The 26,330-nt window shown below is 40.9% G+C and overlaps 1 protein-coding gene across 2 annotated transcripts in view, besides 4 other annotated features; it reads right to left on the bottom strand.

Moving 5' to 3' along the window:
• Positions 1–25,778, bottom strand: part of NUP205 (nucleoporin 205) — a 90,837-nt gene extending 65,059 nt beyond the window's left edge. Inside the window, exons 1-7 of one of the 2 annotated variants that reach the window (NM_001329434.2) lie at positions 25,723–25,778; positions 12,448–12,590; positions 9,870–10,041; positions 7,281–7,425; positions 6,567–6,726; positions 5,671–5,899; positions 4,769–4,944 (exon numbers count right to left, since the gene is read on the bottom strand). Coding sequence is in view for 1 of the 2 variants with exons in the window: in NM_015135.3 (NP_055950.2) it covers positions 4,780–4,944; positions 5,671–5,899; positions 6,567–6,726; positions 7,281–7,425; positions 9,870–10,041; positions 12,448–12,590; positions 25,723–25,750 (1,042 nt within the window). In the remaining variant the exon portion in view is untranslated. The remainder of the gene's footprint in view (positions 1–4,768; positions 4,945–5,670; positions 5,900–6,566; positions 6,727–7,280; positions 7,426–9,869; positions 10,042–12,447; positions 12,591–25,722) is intronic. The other variant, NM_015135.3, reaches the window with a different exon arrangement.
• Positions 25,068–25,187: an enhancer, noted in NCBI's record as "active region_26721". NCBI's record gives its function as "activates an Ori minimal core promoter by ATAC-STARR-seq in GM12878 lymphoblastoid cells {active_cell/tissue: GM12878}" and the evidence as "EXISTENCE:reporter gene assay evidence [ECO:0000049][PMID:35858748]".
• Positions 25,258–25,317: an enhancer, noted in NCBI's record as "active region_26720". NCBI's record gives its function as "activates an Ori minimal core promoter by ATAC-STARR-seq in GM12878 lymphoblastoid cells {active_cell/tissue: GM12878}" and the evidence as "EXISTENCE:reporter gene assay evidence [ECO:0000049][PMID:35858748]".
• Positions 25,378–25,427: an enhancer, noted in NCBI's record as "active region_26719". NCBI's record gives its function as "activates an Ori minimal core promoter by ATAC-STARR-seq in GM12878 lymphoblastoid cells {active_cell/tissue: GM12878}" and the evidence as "EXISTENCE:reporter gene assay evidence [ECO:0000049][PMID:35858748]".
• Positions 25,808–25,937: an enhancer, noted in NCBI's record as "active region_26718". NCBI's record gives its function as "activates an Ori minimal core promoter by ATAC-STARR-seq in GM12878 lymphoblastoid cells {active_cell/tissue: GM12878}" and the evidence as "EXISTENCE:reporter gene assay evidence [ECO:0000049][PMID:35858748]".

Raw genomic sequence — 26,330 nt, 5'->3', positions numbered from 1 at the left:
CTCTCCCTCCCAGTTCAAGCAATTCTCAGGCCTCAGCCACCCAAGTAGCTGGGATTATAGGTGTGCGCCAACACACCTGGCTAATTTTTGTATTTTTAGTAGAGACAGGGTTTCAACATGTTGGCCAGGCTGGTCTTGAACTACTGACCTCAAGTGATCCTCCCATCTCGGCCTCCCAAAGTGCTGGGATTACAGGCGTGAGTCACTGCGCCTGGCCATTATCACATCTTTAAAACTAATTCCTCAGCTGGGTGCAGTGGCTTGATCTAGAGTAACTTAATCTGACTTACATTCAACTTTCTATTAAGAGTATGTCATAGGTTATGGTGTATCTTTCCATCAAGAAACATATTGCTGATTACTGCTCTTAAATTTTGAATATAAAATTACTAGGTAATTGTGTGGCAATCTGGCTTTGAAAAAGACTACTACACAGCTTATTCTGTTTGACTGTCATACAAACCAAATACATAGTCTGTTACCGTAAGTACATTTTCATTGCCTTGAAAAGGGCCAGGAACAGATAAAAGCCAAGATAGTCTCAAACAGAGGAAAACATATGATTTGTAGTATTTCATTTTTATTATTTATTTATTATTTATTTCGAGATGGAGTCTCGCTCTGTCGCCGAGACTGGAGTGCAGTGGCACGATCTCAACTCACTGCAACCTCCGCCTCCCAGGTTCAAGAGATTCTCCTGTCTCCGCCTCCCAAGTAGCTGGGACTATAGGCACGCACCACCACGCCTGGCTAATTTTTTGTATTTTTAGTAGAGATGGGGTCTCACCATGTTGGCCAGGATGGTCTTGATCTCTTGACCTCATGATCCACCCGCCTCGGCCTCCCCAAGTGTTGGGATTACAGGCATGAGTCGCCATGCCTGGCCTGTTTTTTTAATGTTTTGTTTCGTATTTTGAAATAAAGTCTGCATTATCAGCCAGGTGTGGTGGCTCATGCCTGTAATCCCAACACTTAGCCAAGACAGGAGGATTGCTTGAGCCCAGGAGTTCAAGACCAGCCTAGGCAACATAGTGAGACCTCATCTCTACAAAAAAATCAAAGAATTAGCTGTGGTCCCACCTACTTGGGAGGCTGAAGTGGAAGGATCATGTGAGCCCTGGAGGTTGAGGCCACTGAGCCATGGTCACACCACTGCACTCCAGCCTGGGCAACAGGGAAGCCACTATCTCAAACAAACAAAAACGTGCTTATCTACCCATATTATACAAAATCCTTGAGAATAAAATATTGTCTTAATTCTTTGGTATGACTAGTAATAACAATTACTAAAATTACTAATTATTAAATATTTTCAGTAACAGTAACAAATTATTTCAAACCTTTACTTGAATTCAAAAACACCAGAATTAAAAGAGAATCAACTCAAAGATTACGTCTTTTATTTTTTTTGAAACAGAGTCTTACTCTGCTGCCCAGGCTGGAGTGCAGTGGTGCGATCTTGACTCACTGCAACTTCTGCCTCCCAGTTTCAGCCATCCTCCAGCCTCAGCCTCCTGAGAAGGTAGGATGACAAGCATGTGCCACCACACCCAGTTAATTTTTGTATTTTTAGCAGAGTCAAGGTTTCGCCCTGTTGGCCAGGCTGGTCTTGAACTCCTGACATCAAGTGATCTGACTACCTCAGCCTCCCAAAGCACTGACATTACAGGCATGAGCCACTATGCCCAGCCAAAAATTACTTCTTGAAGACCATTTAGGCAATAAGGCATCATTGTCTTAATATAAATTGAGTTTCAATGCCTAAAAACAGTATGCTAAAATTCTGTAAAGCTTAGTGAAATTACAAAAATGCTTGGTTTTTTTGTTGATTTTTTTTTTTTGGAAACAGAGTTTCACTCTGTCACCCAGGCTAAAGTGCAGTGGCATGATCTCAGCTCACTGCAACCTCTGCCCACTAGGTTCAAGCAATTCTCCTGCCTCAGTCTCCCAAGCAGCTGGGATTACAGGCACGCGCCACCATGCTTGGCTAATTTTTTGTGTTTTTAGTGGAGATGGGCTTTTACCACGTTCGCCAGTCTGGTCTTGAACTCCTGACCTCAAGCGATCCACCTGCCTCATCCTCCCAAAGTGCTGGGATTACAGGCGTGAGTCACCACACCCGGCCGATGCTTGTTTTTTTAATTTTTTTTGAGATGTGATCTCACTCTGTCACCCAGGCTGGAGTGCAGTGGAGCAATTTCAGCTCACTACAGCCTCTCTCCTGGGCTCAAGTGATCCTCCTGCCTCAGCCTCCTGCGTAGCTGGGACTACAGCCAAGGGCATGTCACCACACTGGGCTAATTTTTAATTTTTTGAAGAGATGAGGTATCACTACATTGCCCAGGTTTGTCATGAACTCCTGGGCTCAAGCAATCCTCCCACCTTGGCCTCCCAAAATGCTGGGATTATAGGCATGAGGCACTGCACCTGGCTTCATGCCTTTTATAGAATAATATAATAAAAACATTTGATAAAAGTTTCAGAAGTCTATGAAGAGAACAGAAACCAATTTTTCAAATTGGAGATCTTCGTTAAAACTTGTCTGGATTATTTCAAGAAGTGACCATTTCTGCAAAATAACACAAGCTAGTCATTTTTTCTAACAATTTTTAAAATGCAAATTAACAGAAAAATTTTTATAGTTTAAAAATTCTAATTATAATACCCCTAACTATTAAAGCTTATAAAAGGATATGAGCATATAAAATCAAAGAGATTAAGTAGCCAAAGATCTGGGACTTGAAACTAGGGCTGTGATTCCTAACCTATTTTTACTATTATTCTACAGCAAACTATAGCATATTCTATTAAACCTTTCAAAACTAGTGCAGTGGTATGGGCAATTATAGCATAAGATTGTGACCATATTACATAATATTATAATAACTATCTATGTATAACTATATTATATAGTTAATATATTAACTATCACACCTGGGCATGGTGGCTCGCGCCTGTAATCCCAGCACTTTGGGAGGCCAAGGCAGGCAGATTGCCTGAGCTCCGGAGTTCGAGACCAGCCTAGGCAACCCGGTGAAACCCTGTCTCTACTAAAATACAAAAACTTAGCTGGGTGTGGCGGCGTGCGACTATAGTCCCAGGTACTCCGGAGGCTGAGGCAGAATTGCTTGAACCCAGGAGGCAGAGGTTGCAGTGACCTGAGATCATGCCACTGCATTCCAGTCTGGGCAACAGAACGAGACTCCATCTCCAAAATAAAAAAAGAAGATATTAACTATCACATAGCCACTTCAAAGGTTAAAGGGTAACTTTATGTCAGAAAAGTAGTGAAATAAGACTTATAAATGATGAGGGTACGTACAGGTGAGAAACAGAATTTGTACGGGAATGTAAAAGTCTAATTCGCTATCAGCATTTAGATATATAGATGACAGACAGATAGAAATTAACTGGCCAAAGAAAGACTCCTAACACAAAAAAAGCTTTCTGCAAACACCTTGGGAACAGCATGACACTAGTGAAAACAAAATGTTCTGGAATTACACGATTGATAAGATACTAGAATCTGTTGATACTTTAGGATTAGAAAACTGACATAAATTGTAAACTTGAATAAAGCCTTTCTAGATTTACCATAAAAAGACAATTCTTTGGGCTTCGTGTTCCATGTATGGTTCTCATTCTGTTAGAATAAACCCCTACTAATATGACAATTAAATAATGTAAATGTAAATAGCAGAATAATATATGCTACAGTGAGTTAACAGGTTGTTAAAAGTCAGTATTCTGGTCAGGCGCGGTGGCTCACACCTGTAAACCCAACACTCTGGGAGGCCAAAGCAAGTGGATCACCTGAGCTCAGGAGTTCGAGACCAGCCCAGCCAACATGGTGAAACCCTGTTTCTACTAAAAATACAAAAGATTAGCCGGGTGTGGTGGCGTGTGCCTGTAGTCCAATTACTTAAGAAGCTGAGGCAGGAGAATCACTTGAACCCAGTAGGTGGAGGTTGCAGTGAGCCGGGATCGAGCCACTGCACTCCAGCCTGGGCCACAAAAAAGAAAAGTCGGGATTCCACATCTGTTCTTGACTGATCCAAATATCTCCTTTTTAATACACTGTATGGAAAAATAACTGTTTTTAATTTGACACAATGTGAAAAACTAGTTTGTGAACAAATCAAGAAGTAAAATATATAAAAATAAAAGGAATAGTATATTTTAATTTTAAAAAACATTTAAGGCCGGACGGGGTGGCTCACGTGTTGCAATCCCAGCACTTTGGGAGGCCAAGGCAGTCGGATCACCTGAGGTCGGGAGTTCAAGACCAGCCTGACCAACATGGAGAAACCCCATTTCTACTAAAAATACACAATTAGCCAGGTGTGGTGGCGCATGCCTGTAATCCCAGCTACTTGGGAGGCTGAGGCAGGAGAATCGCTTGAACCCGGGGGGCAGAGGTTGCAGTGAGCCGAGACTGTGCCATTGCACTCCAGCCTGGGCAACAAGAGCAAAACTCCATCTCAAAAAAAAAAAAAATTAATGTGACACTGTCATTCCAAATTTTAAACTCATACCCTGAAGGTAAAAGAGCATTGTCAGTGGCTCCAAGAATGGGAAATAGTATTTCATATGATATTTTTGAGAGACAAGGAGAAAAAAGTCTGTATTTCACTACTACACTAAAGGTTTCATTTAATACAACTCTGGATATCTTCCTATGCTTATGCTTATGTATGTCAAAGATAATACTCCTTCCAAAAATGTCATTAAGTGCTAACATGCTGTTTCTCATAACAAAATTACCTACAATCAATTCACCTGTCACATCAGGTAGCTGGGATATTCCCCTCAATGCCAGCGCCCAGGCAAGTCTAACAGTGGCTTGGAGCCCAGGCAGTTTCCAAAGCTGTGAGTCCTGAAGACGAGAGTGAATTGTTGCAATGTACTGTTTTTCTGTCAACAGTGGAAGTTGATGAATCATATCTGAAAACACAAAAATAGACCACTTTACCGATCACCAGATAAATTCTCACTTCTGATACACAGGAATAATATCCAAAAGTCAGAAAATCTGAGCATTCTCACAGAAGAATAATGACCAATTAACATTAATTTCTACATCCCAAAAGGTACACTACTGTTGATTGTACACATACTAAAAACAAAAAAAGAAAATGACAATAATCCTAAATTTCAATTTCACTATTTTCAGTCATTTTTATAAGTGTACTACAAATAAACAAGAAAAAAGTTAGACACTCATTTTTTCTGCACATAAATTCTAAAATAGAAATCATGCTATCTAAAGATCACAAAAATTTTATTTACTTCACAGAAAACACAGATCAAAGATTACATTACTGAAATGACAGTCACTGTCTCAGAATGTTTTAATAAAAAGTTTGAAAATGTAAATGAATGGTAAAGAAACAAGCAATTAAGTAAATTAGGCATGTGCAATCATGAACATGTATAATATATGCTTTAATACTTTCCATTCCAAATCCCCCCAAAAAACAGAAATAATTAACAGGACTGCAGCTGTTTTTTAAATGTGATCTTATATATAAATATTCAAATATGAACGGACTGCAAACACAGGAACAGAGCAGACTATTTTAGTAGCTAAAATATCACCCTTTTTAAATGTTATCCCCACAATTTTAAATCTGATTTTTTTAATGTAGGAAAATGTATAAAACTCAATACCATCTCGTTCCTCTGTGCTTTGCTCTATAAAACTGATATCAAAACAGTATAGAAGCGCCATAAGAAGAGCCAGATTCACTGCATCCAGTGAGCCATTAGCCTCAACTGTCACTCTTTCCAAATGTCCAATGAGGAGGAGAGTGTCTTCTTTGCCTAAAGGTGACTGGCAAGCCCAGGCAAAAAGGCTTTCTGCAAGAGACTGCCTGCACTCCTTAATGAGATCAGAAACCTAGAAATAAAAACATGACTATCAGTATAAATAAATTACAGTGAAGCCTGGTCTTATTCCAAAGTACAAACTACCTTTTACAAAGGCTAATAAAAAAACCTATCAAAATCCACAAGTGATCCTAAGACGTCACCTCTGGAATTCTGAACAAACCCTATTGTTTATTCCTTATCCTTAAGTTCCTTAAGAAATTGGGATGACCAATTTCTTGTTCATTTCATAAAAAGAGCTAGAATGGCACATAAATGACTATACCGAAGCTGAAACAACTGCAAGTCAATTTTATGGACACAGCTGACTACAAACTTTAATATACATTACGAGCTGACTACAATTAACAATTTATTGTATACTGTACTGTCAAACAGTAGTACAGTGAATTTTGAATGTTCCCAACACAAAGAAATAATAAACGTTTGAGGTGATGGATATGCTAATTATGATTTATTACATATCATACATATGTATCAAAATACCACACTGTACCCTATACATATGTACAGTTTTGTGTCAATGAAAAATAATAAAAGCAAAAAAAAAGAAAAGTGGCAATCAGGCATGGTATCAGCTACATAATTCATCTTGAAAAAATGAACATTCTAATTGTCATGTTTCTGCCTCTGAGATTTGACAGACAACTCATGAATTGATTTCATTGAACCCTTGCCTCTTTGCGATGTTTTTCACTGCCCAAACCTCTCTCTCGCTGTAGTTTCTCAAACTCATTATTCACATCAATCTGTGACACCAGCGTAAGAACTTTATAAGTCAATCCTTGCTCCATCAGCTCATCTGTAAAGCGTGTTGTCATGGAAGCCAGCTCTGGACTGTAATGAAAAGAAATCAATAAACTACGTTAAACAATATTGTTTATGCTTCTTCATAATAATAGGTATAGCAAACGCTCTTTTTTTGAGACAGGGCCTTGCTCTGTCACCCAGGCTGGAGTGCAGTGGCGTGATCATGGCTCACTGCAGCCTTGACGTCCCAGGCTCAGGTCTTTCTCCCACCTCAGCCTCCCAGGTAGCTGGGACTGCAGGTGCATGCCATCATGCCCAGTTAATTATTCTATTTTTTGTAGAGATGGGATTTCATCATGTTGCCCAGGCTGATCTAAAACTCCTGAGCTCAAGACTGTAATCTGTAATCCCAGCACTTTGTAATCCAAAAATAATTTGGGCCACTGCACCTCGGTCCAAATTATTTTTTATTTATAAACACAATAAAACAGGTTTAAATTGTTATATCTGTCTTGGCAGAATAAGGGAGTATATTACTCAGCTTATGTTACATATTGCTCAGATTGTATATAATAAGGGAAATATTGTCATACTTCAAGTAATTTCAAATTAACCCCTGAAATCCCAAGAAGTAAAAAGACCTGAGTTCTAGGGTCCATGTCTTTCCCCGTCTAGACTGTATCAAGGCTTTCAAGGAATTCGCAATGCATCGCTTTCCATCCCAGTACAGAAGAACAGCTACTAATCCTCTGGTAAGGCCAGGAAAATGTGGCTGTTGATGCTCTCCTAAAAAAGGAAGTTGAGAAATAATATTGTTAATAAACACGTATGTGTTTAGGAGGAGACAAAAATCAATATAACAATGTTCAGTTCAAAGAATCACAGTAGCTCAGGGCTTAAGGGGCCCTGGGGTCCTCTACTACAAACATCCATCCACTGTCTAACTTCTTGCTCAACATATTCGAGGGCCATCCAACTTATCCCTAAACACCAGCAGGGACATGGAATTCACCATTTTCCAAACTCTCAATTTCTAACTCTCACACTTACCTGTGATTTCTACATACTGGGTGAGAATCTTTTGGTCTCACTGTTGTCCACTAAATTTAATTTTATTCAATGCCCATTTTACTATCTCATATGGAATCTTTCAAATATTTCTAAGTTTCTTCCCTCGGAATCTTCTCTGAATAAACAACCTTTTTATAATTCAAGTTCAGTCACCTTTTAACTACTCTCCTTTGAATGAGTTCTACCTTTTTTTTTGAGATGGAGTCTCACTCTGTCACCTAGGCTGGAGTGCAGTGGCGTGATCTCACTGCAACCTCTGCCGCCTAGGTTCAAGCAATTCTCCTGCCTTAGCCTCCTGAGTAGTTAGGATTACAGGCACTTGCCATAGCACCCAGCTAATTTTTGTATTTTTAGTAGCGATGGCATTTCACCATGTTGACCACGCTGGTCTTGAACTCCTGACCTCGTGATCCACCTGCCTTGGCCTCCCAAAGTGGTGGGATTACAGGTGTGAGCCACCACGCCTGGCTAAGTTTCACTTTTTTTTTAAGAGTACTTTGCCTATAGTTTCAGTTTCATTTCCTAAAGCTTTCTTTTCCCCTTACTGCAACTACTCCTCCACTCTACTCCTTTCTGTTCCCCAAATTCATCACCTTGCTTCACCCTCTTGCACAGGCAATTTCTTCTGCCTGGATGCCCTTCATCCTCCCAAATAACCACCTATTCCACCTGATGTATGCTTACTCATTTTGCAACATCTACCTTAAACTTCATGATGTTGTTAAGAGTTCTCTGTACAATCAAGGTCCATCTAATACCATCTCTAAATCTCTGGACCATCTCTAAATCTTGCACAAAACTGCATTAATTGTACTTAATTGTGTCAAAATATTTGTTTCCACATCATTCTCAATTATTAGAATATGAGCGTATTTACACTAGTTGAGATTTTATTCATCTTTATATCACTGGAGTGATATAATTAACACCATGCCTGGCACATGGTAGGTATAGAAGAAATGTTTGTTAAATGAAAGTTCCGAGTTAAACTCAAAACTCAAGCATGTCTAGTGAACATCCCCCTCATTCTCAATATCATACTTCTTTTAGTGCAGGCTTAGGTCAAAAAGGATTTTGGTAGCCATATATTATCTTTAGACATATTAAACTTTTGTTCAACTAACATGCCCATATTTTCTTCAAATGGCTCCTCCATTATAATTAAAACAAACTGCTTATAGTATAGAAATTTTTCTCTCTTTTCTCTACACAGCAGCCAGAGAAATAATTTCAGAGTTAGAATGAATTATGTAATGTCTCTGCTTAAAGCCCTCATCAACAACTTTCTATTGCAATTAGAATAAAATCCAAATACCTTTCATTATCATGCAAAATCAAACATGCTCTGATTCCTGCTGTATCTGCATCTTCCTTTGCTCTCCCTCTCATTTATGATGCTCTAGCCACAATGATCTTTTTATCCTTAAACACGCCTTTATTCCCACCTCAAGCACTGGCTGCTTGCTCTCCCCGGAAAAGCCTTACCCAATAGGTCTGGGTGGCTGGCACCTTCTCATCATTTGGGTCTCAAGGCAAATGACACCATCTTAGAGAGGCCTTCTCTACGGATCCTACTTAGAGTTGCACTAGCCAGCCTCCACCTCTCTATATCTCACTGCTTTATTTTATTTTCTTCCTAGTACTCTGTATTATTGAAATCATCTTATTTTTTACCTACTCATGCATTATCTGAATTACTCTCTCAAAAAGAAATTCCAAAAAAGTGGTGACCTTACCTGCCTACTCACTGACAGTAAGTGCTTTGTGCTATAAAATTTCTGAGATGTCTTTAACAATTCTGATCACTAAACTGAAGCCTTCCTTCCAATCAAAGGTTAAGAAAGGATAGCCGGGCATGGTGGCACATGCCTGTAATCTCAACTACTCGGGAGGCTGAGACATGAGAATCACTTGAACCCGGTAAGTGGAGGTTGCAGTGAGCCGATATCATGCCACTGCACTCCAGCCTGGGCAACAGAGCGAGACTCTGTCTCAAAAAAAAACAACAAAGATTAAAAAAGGAAATATTTTGAATATGGTTTTACCAAACTGCAGCCTTAGAAACTATGATAGAATCTAAACAATAAACTATTTTAAACTATGAGTGATTTTATAATTTTGCATTATTTTACCACTGTTTCAGTTAAATGTCAACCTACCAGCAAGAAGAAGCTCAACAGCTGCCAATTCTCCAATATCAAAAAGGTCACTGAGAATAAAGGCTTCTTTAATGAGCTGTTCAGGAAGAAGTCGAGTTCCCTGTTGACCCTGAATGGCGACTCCCTCTGTACTGGCTTTCTGAACCTTCTCATGCTGTTGAACATTTTTTGGCTACAATGATAAAATTGTAATTGTTATGAAAATAGCACACTGGAGACAAGGTCCCAAAGTGTTACCTACAGAAGCTTATTCATGATAATTCAGCCTGGTAACATGACAAACAGAAGTATTTCTTATCAGCTAATTTAGAACAGACTTTTATGAAGTAATATTTTGCATAACCTTAAACTTTTTATTCCAATACTACCTTCTCAATAACTGTGACTGCTAAACTCTGATCTGAAAAATTTGGAGAAAATATACAAAATAGCATACTATTTTTCAAGTTTCTACAGAACTTTTCAATTACATAATAAATAAAAATAATAAGGTCTTCAAATGGTACATAACAAATGGATATATGAACTGTTTAATTACTTAGCAGAGCAAGTAACAGTTTATTAATGTTATATAAAATGTAGTCTTATTTCCTAAAAGATAATTTGGTGCAAATATTTAACATATGACGTACAGTACAGAATTAGCTGATAGATCATACATCTAAAGTTTCGGAACTTAAAGGTTACACATTGGTCATTGAATCTAGCTCCTCTATTGCAGACAGAAAAACCGACATCCAGCTAAGTCAGGTAACTTGTCTGTGGTCATAAAACTCTCTAGTGGTACAGCCAAGACTGGAAATCAGCTCAACTGGTTCCCAGGCTGGGGTTCTTTCTACTAAAGAAAGCAAAAAAAAAGAAAAAAAAAGAAAAAAAAAAAAAAGCTAAAAAGCAAAAAGCCATTTCTGGTAACACAATCCTATAAATAGTTCTTGGATGGCTTCCTTGCTGTATATAAAAGAAAAGTGCCAGACTGGGCGTGGTGGGTCATGCCTATAATCCTAGCACTTTGAGAGGCTGAAACAGGCAGATCACTTGAGGCCAGGAGTTCAAGACCAGCCTGGCGAACGTGGTGAAACCACGTCTCTAATACAAAAAAATTAGCTGGACATGGTGGCAGGCGCCTGTAATCCAGCTACTCTGGAGGCTGAGGAAGGAGGATTGCTTGAACACGGGAGGGAGGTTGCAGTGAGCCAAGATCGCACCGCTGCACTCCAGACTGGACGACAGAGTGAGACTCTGACACACAAACACATACACGCAAAGGAAAAGTGCCAAACAACAAGAAAAGCATTTTCCAAGTTTGAATCCCCTCCACTAAAGTACCCTATTGCTATTGCAAAGAATTTCAAGATGCAGAAATTAAAAATACTCAAGAATTAATTCATTCCATTAACACAACTTACATAATACTATAAACTACTATAAAATAATACTTAAAATTTTAACGTACATCTGGAAATAAACAAAATAATCAATCTTACCAAGCATAGATGTATTACTAACTAGAGGTCAGAAATTCTAAGGCAGTTAATATTTCTGGAATATACTAAATTTCTTAAATAGTCTTCAAATATTATTAAGTTTATCTCCTAGCTAGAAATAAACATAATATTAACTTCTATAGAGAATAACATTGCTCCTAAGAAAAATTCCATTAAAATCACAGCAGGGCACAGTGGCTCACGTCTATAATCCCAACACTTTTTGAGACCAAGGCAGGAAGATCACCTGAGGCCAGGAGTTCAAGACCAGCCTGGGCAACATAGCAAGACCCTATCTCTAAAAAAAATTAGCTGGGCACGGTGGCACACACCTGTAGTCCCAGCTACTTAGGAGTGAAGAGCCAGGAAGAACGCTTGAACCAGGAGTTTGAGGCTATAGTGAGCTATAATCAGGCCACTTCACTCCAGTCTGGAGGACAGAGCAACACCCTGTCTTTAAAAAATATCTAGAAAAGAAAATCATTGAATCACTGGAGTGAGACAGGTGACATGTTTTTGTTACGTACATTAAGAGTTTACTTGCAAGGACCTACTATTTGATAGCACGACAGGGTGATAGCCAATAATAATTATACATTTTAAAATAACTAAGAGTGTAAATGGATTGTTTGGAAAACAATGGATAAATGCTTGAGGGGATGAATGACTCCCCATTCTCCATGATGTGATTATTTCACACTGCATGCCTGTATCAAAACATCTCACGTACCTCATAAATATATACATCCTTTATGTGCTCACAAAAATTAAAAATTAAAAAAAGTTTTTAAGATAGTTTTTGCAGCTGGCATGGTGGCTCACGTCTGTAATCCCAGCACTTTGGGAAGCTGAGGCAGGAGGATCACTGAGGCCAGAAGTCCAAGACAAGCCTGGGCTACAAAGTTAGACCCTGTCTTTTTTTTTTTTTTTAAGCGTTTAGGGGTACATGTCATCAGGACCTCATGAGACTGTGGCACAGTAAATAAATTTCTGAAAAAAATTTGAAAATTAAAAAAAAAAGAAAAGAGTTTACTTCCTTCCTCGATCTTAAAAAAAAAAAAATCCCAAAAAAACTGAAAAAGAAAATTTCTTACCGGATTTTTGAACAATGAGATGAAGTCAGGTTTGTGTTTCTTCAAAATCTTATCAAGAAGGTGAACAGCTTCAGGTTGTCTTCTCCAAAGAGCATTTCCCACTTTATGCCAAATGTCTTTGTAAGGACCCCATAGACTAGCAGCTTAAAGAAAAAATAAATGAAACCACCGTCAAAGAAAACATACACTTGAAAAATAATGTGAGGTTACCATCCACACATTTTAGTTACACCCACAGCTACTTTTTAATCTAGGAAGTTATCTTAATTAATATAATTATCAATTATATTATAAATATTATAATTAGTATGTTACATTAACTATATTATATTAATATATTATATATAAATATATAATATATAATATATTACATATATTTTATATTTATATATAATATATGTAATATATAATATATAATTTATATATTAATATAATTAATATATATTAATATAATATATAAATATAATTAATATATATTAATATAATATATAAATATAATTAATATATTAATATAATATATAAATATAATTAATTATATTAATATAATTAATTATATTAATATAATTAATATATATTAATTATATTAATATAATAAATGATTGCTAATTATATAAATATCAATGTTGTAACTGATTAAGAGACACTAATATAAAAGCATAGTTTATTAAAATTCTCAAGCAATGATATAAACACATCACTTTATCTGACTTACTATAAAATAAATCCTGACTTTAGGTAGGCACAATGGCTCACGCCTGTAATCCCAGCACTCTGGGAGGCCAAGGCGGACAGATTACCTGAGGTCAGGAGTTTGAGACCAACCTGGCCAACATGGTGAAACCCCGTCTCTACTAAAAATACAAAAATTAGCCGGGTGTGGTGGTGCGCACATGTAGTCCCAGCTACTTGGGAGGCTGGGACAGGAGAAATCACTCGAACCCAGGAGGCGGAGGTTGCAGTGAGCCAGGATCGTGCCACTGCACTCTAGCCTGGCCGACAGGATCAAAACCCCATCTCAAAAAAAATTTAAAAATTAAATAAATAAATAAAATAAATCCTGACTTTAAATTGGAATATCAGCTGAACCTAGTTTTACCACTTCATTAGCTATGTCTACTGGAACAAGGGAAATAACCTCTTTAAACTTCAGTTTCTCTCTCTCTCTCTCTCTCTCTCTCTCTCTCTCTCTCTCTCTATATATATATATATATATATATAAAACATAAACACCATCTGCTTCAAAGAGCTGTAAGTTTTTCAAATGAGATAAACTAAGGAAAACACACAGTCCAGTGCCTTTCATATCATAGGCACTCAATAAAGGTAAGTGCCTTTCCTTCCTTTCCTTCTTGTCATCCAGATGAAAAGCAGCAGTAGGGAAATAACTCAGAATTTATAAAACTTAGAAGCTGAAAATGTACTTTGGGCTGAGACACTGGCTATTATAAAACAGCATAGAAATACAGAATACTTTTATAAACTCATATAAAAAGGATCACATTTTAATTGATAAACATGATAACAGTAAGTAATAATGACTAAACTTGTGCTGTGTGCTACTAAGCATGGCCCTAAGCTCTTTACATGTATGATTATGTCTTAACAACACCCTATGAGGTTAGCACTATGGCTTCCTCCATTTTATAAATATGGAAACTGAGGCAGAGAGGTCAAAATATTCACCACCTGAGGTCACACTAGATAATGTCAGAACTTAAGCCCAAGCAGTCTGGGCATCAGAGTGTGCCCTAACCAGTAAATTGTACTTTCACCATAATTTACTGGAAAGTAAATGACACATTTATACTATAATACATAATACTTAAAAAGTGAAAGTGTTTGGGAAGAATTTAGGTATTTCAAAAATAGTACTAAGGCCGGGCACGGTGGCTCACGCCTGTAATCCCAGCACTTTGGGAGGCCAAGGCGGGCGGATCACCTGAGGTCAGGAGTTTGAGACCAGCCTGGCCTACATGGTGAAACCCCATCTCTACTAAAATATACAAAAAATTAGCCAAGCGTGGTGGCACGCGCCTGTAATCCCAGCTACTCAGGAGTCTGAGGCAGGAGAATTGCTTGAACCCAGGAGGCGGAGGTTGGAGTGAGCCGAGATCGTGCCATTGCACTCCAGCCTGGCAACAGAGTGAGACTCCATCTCAAAAAATAAAAAATAAAAAATTTAAACTCCATAAATGAACAGTAAAGTATCAAAGAAGATAAGACAAACAATCTTTGTCTTACAGCTCACCAGTTGGGGAGATAAAATGTACATAAGTGAAATATTCCAGTAAAGGAATATGATTGTTGGCACAAACAATAAAATAATTTCAAAAGATCAAACTGATGGTCAGAGTTGGCTAAGGAATGGCTGCACTTGTGCAGCATTTGAAGGATGAGGAAAATCTGGGCAACAAACATCAGCCAAGAACAAGTGTGAGCAAAGGATCAGAGACAGGTGTGAAAGCATGAAAGAGAATTCAGAGCAGTAGCAAGATTAAAGAGGTAGGAGTAGTGCTTTCAAACTTTGACTATAATCCACAGTAAGAAATATTTCACATTTCAACCCAGTACACATGTATATACAAAACTGGAACAAAAGTATTATATAAAATACTAAAATTCAGGCTGGCTCTCACCTATAATCCCAGCACTTTGGAAGGCCGAGGCGGGCAGATCACTTGAGGCTAGGAGTTCGAGACCAGCCTGGCCAACATGGTAAAAACCTGTCTCTACTAAAAATACAAAAATATTAGCCAGGAGTGGTGGCGCACACCTGTAATCCCAGGTACTCGGGAGGCCAGGAACCAGAATCGCTTGAACCTGGGAGGTGGAGGTTGCAGTGAGCCAAGATCACGCCACTGCACTCCAGCCTGGGTGACAGAGTGAGACTCTGTCTCAACAACAACAACAATAAAAAACTAAAATTAATTCATTTATTATATTCAATGCCCTATGATATTTTGTGTTCTGTCCCATTTTTGGTGAGGGGCCCACTAAATTGATTTTATCTTTATTGTTTTTAAGATGCAGTCTCACTCACTCTGTCACCCAGGCTGGAGTGCAGTGGCACAATCTCCGCTCACTGCAACTTTCACCTCCTGAGTTCAAGTGATTCTCCTGCCTCAGCTTCCTGAGTAGCTGGGATTACAGGCGTGCCACCACGCCCGTCTAATTTTTGTATTTTTATTAGAGATGGGGCTTCACCATTTGGCCAGGCTGGTCTTGAACTCCTGGCCTCAAGCAATCTGCCCACCTCGGCCTCCCAAAGTGCTGGGATTACTGGCATGAGCCACGGCGCCCGGCCCCTACTAAACTGATTTTAGACTCACCATTTAAAAAATATGACTCTAAAGCCAAAGGTTTCTGTTTGGAAATAAGCAGATAAGGTACTCATATGTGTTTAGACTCTGAAGGAAAAACTGGTCAAAACCAATTACTCAACAGATGAAACTTAGAACTAACTATAGCCTAAACATTAAAGACTGTAAACAGGGTAAACTGTTGAGAAAACCCAAATCCAAATAAAGTTACCAGGATATAAGAACAACATGAAAGATAACTGTAATGTAATTAAATACATTATAACTCAATGAACAACGTCAGATGACGCAATGTAATTTAAAAACATTTTTTTTTTGAGACAGGGTCTCACTTTGTCACCCAGGCTGGAGTACAGTGGTGCCATCTCAGCTCACTGTAGCCTCAACTTCCTGGGGTCAAGAGATACTGCCCCCCTCAGCCTCCTGAATAGCTGGGACTACAGGTATGCAACCACACCCACCTAATTTCTGTTTGTTTGCTTTTTTTTTTTTTTTTTTTTTTGGTATAGACAGGGTTTCACCATGTTGTCCAGGCTTGTCTCAGACTCCTGGACTCAAGCAATCTACCCTGCCCACCTTGGCCTTCCCAAGTGCTGGGATGAAAGGCATGAGCCACTGCACCCAGCCTGAAAAAAAAATTTTTTAAAGGGAGATGTGCAGGGAGAGGACGGACTAAACCAGTGGAGATGGATTATTTATTCATACTTTCATTCACTATCAAATATTTACTGAGGGACCATATATACATATATATATATATATATATATATATATATATATATATATATATATATATATACACACATAGACTGAGCAAGACAGACAGAATCCCAAGCCTCATGGAACTTACAAATTGATAAGACTGACAGACATTAAACAAAGAATTCCAGGCCGGGTGCAGTGGCTCACACCTGTAATCTCAGCACTTTGGGAAGCCGAGGTGGGCCGATCACGAGGTCAGGAGTTCGAGACCAGCCACCTGGCCAATATGGTGAAACCCCATCTCTACTAAAAATACAAAAATTAGCCAGGCATGGTGGTGCGCACCTGTAGTCCCAGCTACTCGGGAGGCTGAGGCAGAAGAATTGCTTGAACCTGGGAGGCAGAGGTTGCAGTGAGCCGAGATTGCGCCACTGCGCTTCAGCCTGGGCAACAGAGCAAGACTCCGTCTCAAAAAACAAAACAAAACGAAAAAACAAATAATTCCAAAGATATCAGTATAATAAAAGATATGATGAAGTACAACGGGCTATGAGAGTACATGAAAGAAAGAGCCTAAACTAATCTGAAGATTAGGGAAGGATGCAAAGCGTCAGGTCTTTGATGTGGGGATGTGAGGAATCTGCATGTCTAGATCTTCCTTACATAGACAGATCATCCAATTCCCTGCTTTGCTTCTCCTGCTTTAGTCCCACACTTTCCAATCTTCTGATTAAAAATATAGCTCGACATATAAATTTCTAGCATGAAGGATGTGTTGACAAGGCAACATGAGTACCTATGCAGACATACTTCCCATTAAAGAGCAATAACTGGCAGACAGGGGTGGTGGCTCATCCGTGTAACCCCAGCACTTCGGGAGGCCAAGGCTAGGAGTTCAAGACCAGTCTGGCCAACATGATGAAACTCCGTCTCTACTAGAAATACAAAAATTAGCCAGGTGCAATGATGCACACCTGTAAATCCAACTACAAGGAGGGTTGAGGCACAAGAATCTCTTGAATCTGGGAGGCAGAGGTTGCAGTGAGCCGAGATCACACCACTGCCATCCAGCCTGGGCAACACAGCAAGCCTCTGTCTCAAAAAACAAATAAATAAACAAATAAAATAAAAAAGAGCAATAACTGGCATACTGGTTTATGTATCTGTCTTTTCTGAATTTGATTAGAGAATAATCAATGAATGGGACCTAATCAACTCTGGATACACTGAAAAAAATCAGATTTCTCTGCCTGCCAAAATGAGGACCTAGATCCTGGTGACTAGATGACTTCCCTCAGGATCATTTTCTTGGCCCTCTCTCTAACTGCAAAGGATAGAGTAGGTTTCAGCCTTGGATTCCAGGGCCATGATGGAATTTTTCCTATTAGTAAATGGCAAAGTTTCCAGTAGCAGATGACAAAATGAAACTGGCATTGTAGGAAAATGGTGTTCTAGTGTGGTTGATGGACTAGAACAGGCAGTGTCAGGAAACAAGGATAAGAGGTAAGTAAGCCACTTATAAGAAAATGGAACCGGGAGGCCAAGGTGGGCAGATCACCTTAGGTCGGGAGTTCGAGACCAGCCTGATCAACATAGAGAAACCCCATCTCTACTAAAAATACAAAATTAGCCAGGCATGGTGGCAGGTGCCTGTAATCCCAGCTACTCGGGAGGCTGAGGCAGGAGAATAGCTTGAACCCTGGGAGTGGCGGTTGCAGTGAGCCGAGATCACACCATTGCACTCCAGCCTGGGCAACAATAGCGAAACTCCATCTCAAAAAAAAAAAAATAAGAAAATGGAACCTAAACTAGGATGAGGGCAGTACAGGAGGAAGAAAAGGTCTGTTAGTAACAGAAAGGACTCAGAATTGGTCATCAAATGGCACATGGTATAAAGGGAAGGTATTAATGATGACTCCTATGCAAATCTGAAATATACCTTACCACAGACATTTCAGAAATCTGATAAAGTGCTGACAAAAGTTAATTTTCTCTCCCTCATTTTAAATATTAATATACAGTAGGACCTCTGAAAAACCAATAAATTTCCTTGTACTATACATATTTAGTGTAATAAGCTCAGTGAATGGTAGAGAAAAATCCAATTTTTCCCCCAATAATGGTAGGCATCCAATTAAAGATCAAAACTCTACAATAGGCCGGCTGCAGTGGCTCACACTTGTAATGCCAGTACTTTGGGAGGCCAAGGCGGGCAGATCACTTGAGGTCAGGAGTTCGAGACCAGCCTGGCCAAAATGTCAAAACCCTGTCTCTACAAAAAATTTTTAAAAAGTAGCCAGGCATGGTGGCGTGCACCTGTAATCCCAGCTACTCAGGAGGCTGAGGTGGGAGAATCGCTTGAACCTGGAGGCAGAGGTTGCAGTGAGCCAAGAGCGCACCACTGCACTCCAGTCTGGAAGACAGAGTGAGACTCCATCTCAAAAAACAAACAAACAAAAAAACTCAACAATAAAAAAACAGGTTCACTGGCCTACTTAGTTCGTCATTAATATCAACATAGCATCAAAGGGCCAGGCAAGGTGGCTCGCACCTGTAATCCTAGCACTTTGAGAGGCTGAGGTAGGCCTCCCAAGCAAGGTTCAAGGAGCTTAAGTGCAGGAGTTCAAGACCAGCCTGGGTCACATGGCAAAACCCTGTCTCTATTTAAAAAAAAAACAGGCCGGGCGTGGTGACTCATGCCTGTAATCCAGCACTTTGGGAGGCCGAGGTGGGCAGATCACAAGGTCAGGAGTTCAAGACCAGCATGGCCAACATGGTGAAACCCTGTCTCTACTAAACACACACAAAAAAATTAGCTGGGCATGGTGGCTAACACCTGTAATCCCAGTTACTTGGGAGGCCGGGGCAGGAGAATTGCTTGAACCCAGGAGGCAGAGGTTGCAGTCACCTGAGATCATGCCATTGCACTCCAGCCTGGGTGACAGGGCAAGACTCCGTCTCAAAAAAAAAAAAAAAAAAATAGCTGGGCATGGTGGCTTGTGCCTATAGTCTCAGCTACTCATGAGGCTGAAGTGGGAGGATCACCTGAGTCTCAGAGGGTAGAGGCTGTAGTATGCCATGACTGAGCCACTGCACTCCAGCGTGGGCAACAGAGTGAAACCTCGTCTCAAAGAAGAAAAAGAAAAAAAAAACACCAAAGGTAGCCGCAACAAAGAGTTATCTTCAATCTGTCTTGAGTTTGACCAATTTCAGTAAACACCTTTTTTTTGTTTGTTTTTTGTGACAGGGTCTTGCTGTCACCCAGGCTGGAGTGCAGTGAGGCAATCACAGCTCATTACAGCCTCAAACTCCTGGGCTCAAGCAACCTCCTGCCTCAGCTTCTCTAGTAGCTAGGATTACAGGCGCACGCGCACCACCAGACCTGGCTAATTTTTGTATTTTTTGTAGAACTGGGATGTTGCTATGTTGCCCAGGCTTGCCTTGAACTCCTGGCCTCAAGTGATCCTCCCTCCTCAGCCTCCTAAAGTGCTAGGATTACAGTAAATATCTTTTTTACTGATTACAAATGAAGGGACACTATAAATTTTTCAAAATTACTAAATATGTATTTTTACCATGTAGTTTAGTCAGTTGAGAAATACATTTATTTTCCTTAATGTTTAGGGATACCTCCAGCAAATCACATTTACTCACTCATTCACCATGTGTGAGGTATTGGTAAGATTATACTGCAGTGAGGAAAAACATTAATCATAATCATACATAAATGTAAAATCTGGCCGGGCACAGTGGCTCACGCCTGTAATCCCACCACTTTGAGAGGCCAAGGCGGGCCACATCACGAGGTCAGGAGATCAAGACCGTCCTGGCCAACACAGCGAAACCCCGTCTCTACCAAAAATACAAAAAATTAGCCAGGCGTGATGGCATGCGCCTGTAGTCCCAGCTGCTAGGGAGGCTGAGGCAGGAGAATCGCTTGAACCCAGGAGGCGGAGGCTGCAGTGAGCCGAGATCACGCCACTGCACTCCAGCCTGGGCTACAGAGTAAGACTCCATCTCAAAAAATAAAAAAATAAATAAAAATAAAATAAAATCCAACTGTGGTCAGGATATGAAGGATATGAAGGAGAGGTAGCCAGGGCAAGAGATCACATAATAGGGGACTCTGACCTAGCCAGAGGAAAGAATTATCCATGAGGAAGTGATAACTAGGCTGAAATCTGAAGAACAAAAGTGATAGTTAACTGACAGGTGGGAGGTGAAGACATGCATTCCAGGGAGAGGACAACCTGTGGGTTTCCATGGCAAGAGGGAATGCGGCATGTCAAAGAACTCAAAAGGCCAAGAGAGCTGCAGTACAGAAAACGGGTTTGGCAAGATCATCACACAGGGCTCACTTGCCCACGTTAAAGAATTTTGATGACCGAGTGTGGTGGCTCAGGCCTGTAATCCCAGCACTTTGGGATACCGAGGCGGGCAGATACGAGGTCAGGAGATCAAGACCATCCTGGCCAACACGGTGAAACCCTGCTCTACTAAAAATACAAAAATTAGCTGGGTGTGGTGGCGCACGCCTGTAGTCCCAGCTACTCAGGAGGCTGAGGCAAGAGAATCGCTTGAACTTGGGAGGCAGAGGTTTCAGTGAGCCAAGATCGCGCCACTGCACTCCAGCCTGGCAACAGAGCCAGACTCTGTCTCAAAAAAAAAAAAAAAAAAAAAGGATTTTGGTCTTTACTCTAAAAGATCAAGCCAAATGAAGATTTAAAACATGGGGACTTTCTGCTCATGCCTATAACCCCAGCACTTTGGGAGGCCGAGGCAGGTGAATCGTTTGAGGTCAGAAATTCGAGGCACCCCTGGCCAACGTGGTGAAACCCCATCTCTACTAAAATTACAAAAATTAGCCAGGTGTGGTGGTGGGCGCCTGTAATCCCAGCTACTTAGGGAGGCTAAGGCAGGAGAATCTCTTGAACCTGGGAGGCAGAGGTTGTAGTGAGCTGAGATCACACCACCGCACTCCAGTCTGGGCGACAGAATGAGCCCCTGTCTCAAAATAAAAAATAATTTTTTAAAAAGGAACTTTCTGAACTACAAGAAACAGAAGTTAACCCTATTGAGAGCTGTTTACAAGGATGGAAGAGACCAGAATGGGTGAAGGAATAGGAGGTATGAAAAGGGAGTCAGTAGGCTGGGCATAGCAGTTCAGGCCTGTAATCCCAGCTACTAGGCTGAGGCAGGAGAATCATTTAAACTTGGGAGGTGGAGACTGCAGTGAGCCGAGACTGCACCACTGCACTCCAGCCTGGGCAGAGTGAGGGAGGGAGGGAAGGAAGGAAGGAAGGAAGGAGGGAAGGAAGGAAGGAACAAAGGAAGGAAGGAGATGGAGTCCATGAATACTAACAAATCTTTTGAAAGGCTTGACTAGGAAGAGGACAGTAAGTGGAGTGACGCATGAGATCATCAGTGGAGAGAAAGGGAAGAGCAAGAGAGAGAAGTGAATATACAAGACAAAAAAAGGGGTAACAGGTGAAGAACACAATGGGTGGGATTTACATTAGATAGGAAGACAGAGGAAAAGTGATTCAAAAGAATGCAGACACACCTAGGTTTGTAGGTTTGAGAGTGAATAAAGGGAGTTCATGTATGTTGGCTCCTATTTTCTCTGTGACTAGAAGTCTGAGGGTTTAGTTAGTTGCAGGTTAAAGATTTGAAGAGTGTAGAAAGGTCTGAAGTAGTCACTGCTGTGAATGGACGAGGTGACCAGACTATCACAGAAGGACTGCCAAGCAGTGTTAATAGTTGCTTATTCACAAGTCTGTGAGTGTACTCAGCCAGGTTGATACAGGTCACAAGACTAGTTAAGTTATACAGCTGAAATACAAGCATAGGTTTTTTTGTTTGTTTTTTGTTTGTTTGTTTTTAAGACAGAGTCTCGCTCTGTTGCCTAGGCTGGAGTGCAGTGGTATGATCTCGGCTCACTGCAACCTCCTCCTCCTGGGTTCAAGCAATTCTCCTGCCTCAGCCTCCCGAGTAGCTGGGATTACAGACACCTGCCATCATGCCAGGCTAATTTTTGTATTTTTGTAGAGACAGGGTTTCACCATGTTGGCCAGGCTGGTCTCGAACTCCTGACTTCAGGTGATCTGCCCACTTCAGCCTCCCAAAGTGCTGGGATTACAGGCATAAGCCACCACACCTGGCCAACCATAGGTCTTAGAACTCTACAATCTCTGTATTTTTTCCTTACAACTCCAAGATGTTTGATTTTTTAAAACTGTAATTTAAAGGAAGCACATAACATAGAATGCAATCTCAACAAATTTTAAGTGTACAGTTCAGCAGTGTTCAGTGTATTCACATTGTGCAACAGATCTTCACAGCTTTTTTCATCTTGCAAAACAGAAACTCTATGCCCCCTAAACAACTCCCCACTTTCCCCTTTCCCAGCCCCTGGCAACCACCATTCTACTTTCTGTTTCTATGAGTATGACTACTTCAGATACCTCATATAAGTGGAATCATGTAGTATTTGTGTCTTGTGACTGGCTTATTTCACTTAGTATGTCCTCAAGTTTCATCCACGTTGTTTTATGTGACAGGATTTCCTTCCTTTTTAAGGCTGCATAAGGATACTATATATATGCATGTATACGTTATGTTATGTATATGCATGTATATGTATTATGCATATTGCATGTATATGACACATTTCCTTTACCCACTCAACCCAACATTCATTCCTTGATGGAAAAAGAGTTCCTTCCCTAAGACGTTTAGTTTTTTAAAAAACCAGCTCCTGACTCTTGGCTTTTAAAAATGTTTCCTATGTTGCCAATTAAACACTCCTGACACAAGGCTTTATTATACAATGTACACTCTTTGCTGCTGTTGGCAACTCCTTTTCCCTCCAATGATTTGTTTAATAATTATAATAGCTTAGGGCGAGTATGTACTAAAGGAATGTATATAGGCCAGGCACAGTGGCTCACGCCTGTAATCCCAGCACTTTGGGATGCCGAGGTAGGCGGATCACCTGAGGTCAGGAGTTTGAGACCAGTCTGGCCAACATGGTGAAACCCCGTCTCTACTAAAAATACAAAAAAAATTGGCCAGGCGCAGTGGCTCACACCTGTAATCCCAGCACTTTGGGAGGCTGAAGGGAGTGAATCACGGGGTCAGGAGCTCGAGACCAGCCTGGCCAATATGGTGAAACCCCTTCTCTACTACAAATACAAAAAATTAGCTGGGTGTAGTGGCGGGCGCCTGTAATCCCAGCCCCTCGGGAGGCTGAGGCAGGGGAATCGCTTGAACCCAGGAGGCGGACGTTGCAGTGAGCCAAGATCGTGCCACTGCACTCCAGCCCGGGCAACAGAGTGAGACTCCATCTCAAAAAAAAATTAGCCAGGCTAGCCAAGCATGGTGGCGGGCGCCTGTAATCCCAGTTACTTCAGAGGCTGAGGCAGGAGAGTTGCTCCAACCCAGGAGGTGGAGGCTGCAGTGAGCCGAGATCACGCCACTGCACTCCAGCCTGGGTGGACAGGATGAGACTCCATCTCAAAAAAAGAAAAAAAAAAAAAAGGAAAATAAATGTGTATACCTTGCGTACTGGCTCACACCTGTAAACCTACCACTTTGGGAGGCCGAGGCAGAAAGATCGCTTGAGGACAGCAGTTCGAGATCAGCCTAGCCAACATGGAGAAACCCCACCTCTACTAAAAATACAAAAATTAGCCCAGCGTGGTGGCACATGCCTGTAATCCCAGCTACTCAGGAGGCTGAGGCAGGAGAATTGCTTCAACCTGGGAGGCAGAGGTTGCAGCGAGCCAGGATCGCGGATCGCATCACTGCACTCCCGCCTGGGAGACAGAGCAAGACTCCATCTCAAAAAGAAAAATTAAAAAATAAAATAAAATAGAGAAATGTATTATATACAACCACACGTTAAGCATATCTAATTGGGAAGGAAGGACCGCAATATTAAGCATGTAACTTCATTACTAACCTTCTAATATATACGTCTAATATCATAAAATGAATTAGGTTGTGCTTAAGCAGTAGCACTAAGTAGTTTAAGCACCTAAGACTGACTTAGATCATTAGATGTTTAACTCTGGGGACATTACGTAACTATTTGAAGCCTCTATTTCCAAATCTGTAAAACGGAGTATGTAACAGTAACTACTCCAAAGGTGTATAAACGGGAACTGAATGAGATAAGCACGATAATAAGTGCAATGCTGGGATATAGTATGTGTTCAGTAAACATAGCCTTCATTATAATTTATCATAGCTTTTCTGAAATGATTTGATTTACAAAACAGATTTAGACAACTTTTCAAGAATATCAGTCCTGTGGAAAATAGAACCAATACTTTAAAAAAGAGTCCTTTTAAGTGAGATTCTCACAAGCATTTACCACACAGATATACTCTTAATCTTGCCCGCGAACTTCAGAGCATCTCAATCGAGGCATTAACATTCTAGGCACCAAATTATTTTTCCGGACTGCTCTGACCATGAAGGACTTTCTGCATCCTTGCCCCGCCTACTATGCGACAGCAGTGTACCCCAGGAAATATGACAATCAAAATGCACTCACTCATTCAAACACCACTGGAGGGCGGTACGGCCCGAATTGAGAATCACCGAAAGAGGATCCACCCCAAATCTTCCAGAGTTCCTTTACTACCTTCTAGATTCAATTCCACCCCGAAAATCTACAGCTCCAAAGGTACAAGAACATCCAGGGCCTAACCACATCCGCAGGGTTAGAAGACGTCTGCTGAAGCCCCGCCACCCTCTTCCTGACCACCTTTCAGATGGCCGACTTCATAATAGGGAGTATTCGCTGCCTGCAAGATCTCCCACCCTATAAGGAACTCCGACGCCTACTTTCAGCCTCTGCTCATGGCTGGAAAATATCTCGGGTCCTCTGGCTTCACTGTGGAAGACCTGATGCGTATTCCAGCGAAATCGGGACCACAGACGCACAGTGAAACTTGGGGGTGAGGGGGACCAGACTCAGCCCTGGGCTGTGAGAGATTACACACCTGGGTCCAGCGGCCCAAGCCTCACTGCCTGGAATCTCAAACCCCAACTCGAGGGCTGGAGCCGCAGCACCGACGCGCGCCATTCAAACTGGGGAGGGGTGGGACTCTAGGCCCAGAATTAGGGAAAAGCAGGCACCGCACATAAGTGGGGTCCTAGACTCCGAGAAACCTCACGGTCTCGTCTCTCCATGAAGACCTGGTTATCGCTCAGCTCAATCGTCTTTCTGTCTGGCCACACTTACCCGAATTTACCGCCAAAGGCGTCGCCATCTTAGAGGCGCACTAACAGAGCCCTTCTGCCGCATGGAGGCCCCGGGAAAGGGTGAGGCTGACCTGAGCGAAGCCTGAACAAAAAGGCACCACACTGTCCCCTCCACGCTGGGCCGTCCCAGGCGTACAAAAGGCTCCAGAATCTGCTCTGGGTCACAAACATCAATTTTCATTGGGATTATTCCCATTCAAATAAGGCGAGGGCAACCACTTCAGAGACACGAGGTCCTCGATCCGACGTTCATCGTGTAGTGCATCCTGGGACTTGTAGTTTCTAATGATGAGTTGGTTAAGTGGAGAGGAAAAAGTAAAGTGGAATAGAAAAAGATATTCTGAGAGTAGTTATTAAAATGACGCCCATTTATGACATTATAAAAGCCGTAAATTCAAATCATTATCTCCGCTTCAAGTTAAATCTTCCTTACAGTGGGGAGTGAAGTAAGGTATGAAGTGTCTACACCTCAAAAAGCCACTGACCGGTTACAAACTAAGTTTCCGTGACATTTCAGTTTACCAAATATATTCTGTCAACATAGTTGCGTAGAGCGAAACAAATCATAATTTTTAATTATAAAATTTT

This window comes from Homo sapiens, chromosome 7, assembly GCF_000001405.40.
Source record: "Homo sapiens chromosome 7, GRCh38.p14 Primary Assembly".
Lineage (NCBI taxonomy): Eukaryota > Metazoa > Chordata > Mammalia > Primates > Hominidae > Homo > Homo sapiens.
The sequence above is the reverse complement of the archived record's forward strand: the minus strand, read 5'-3'. Positions and strand labels throughout refer to the sequence as shown.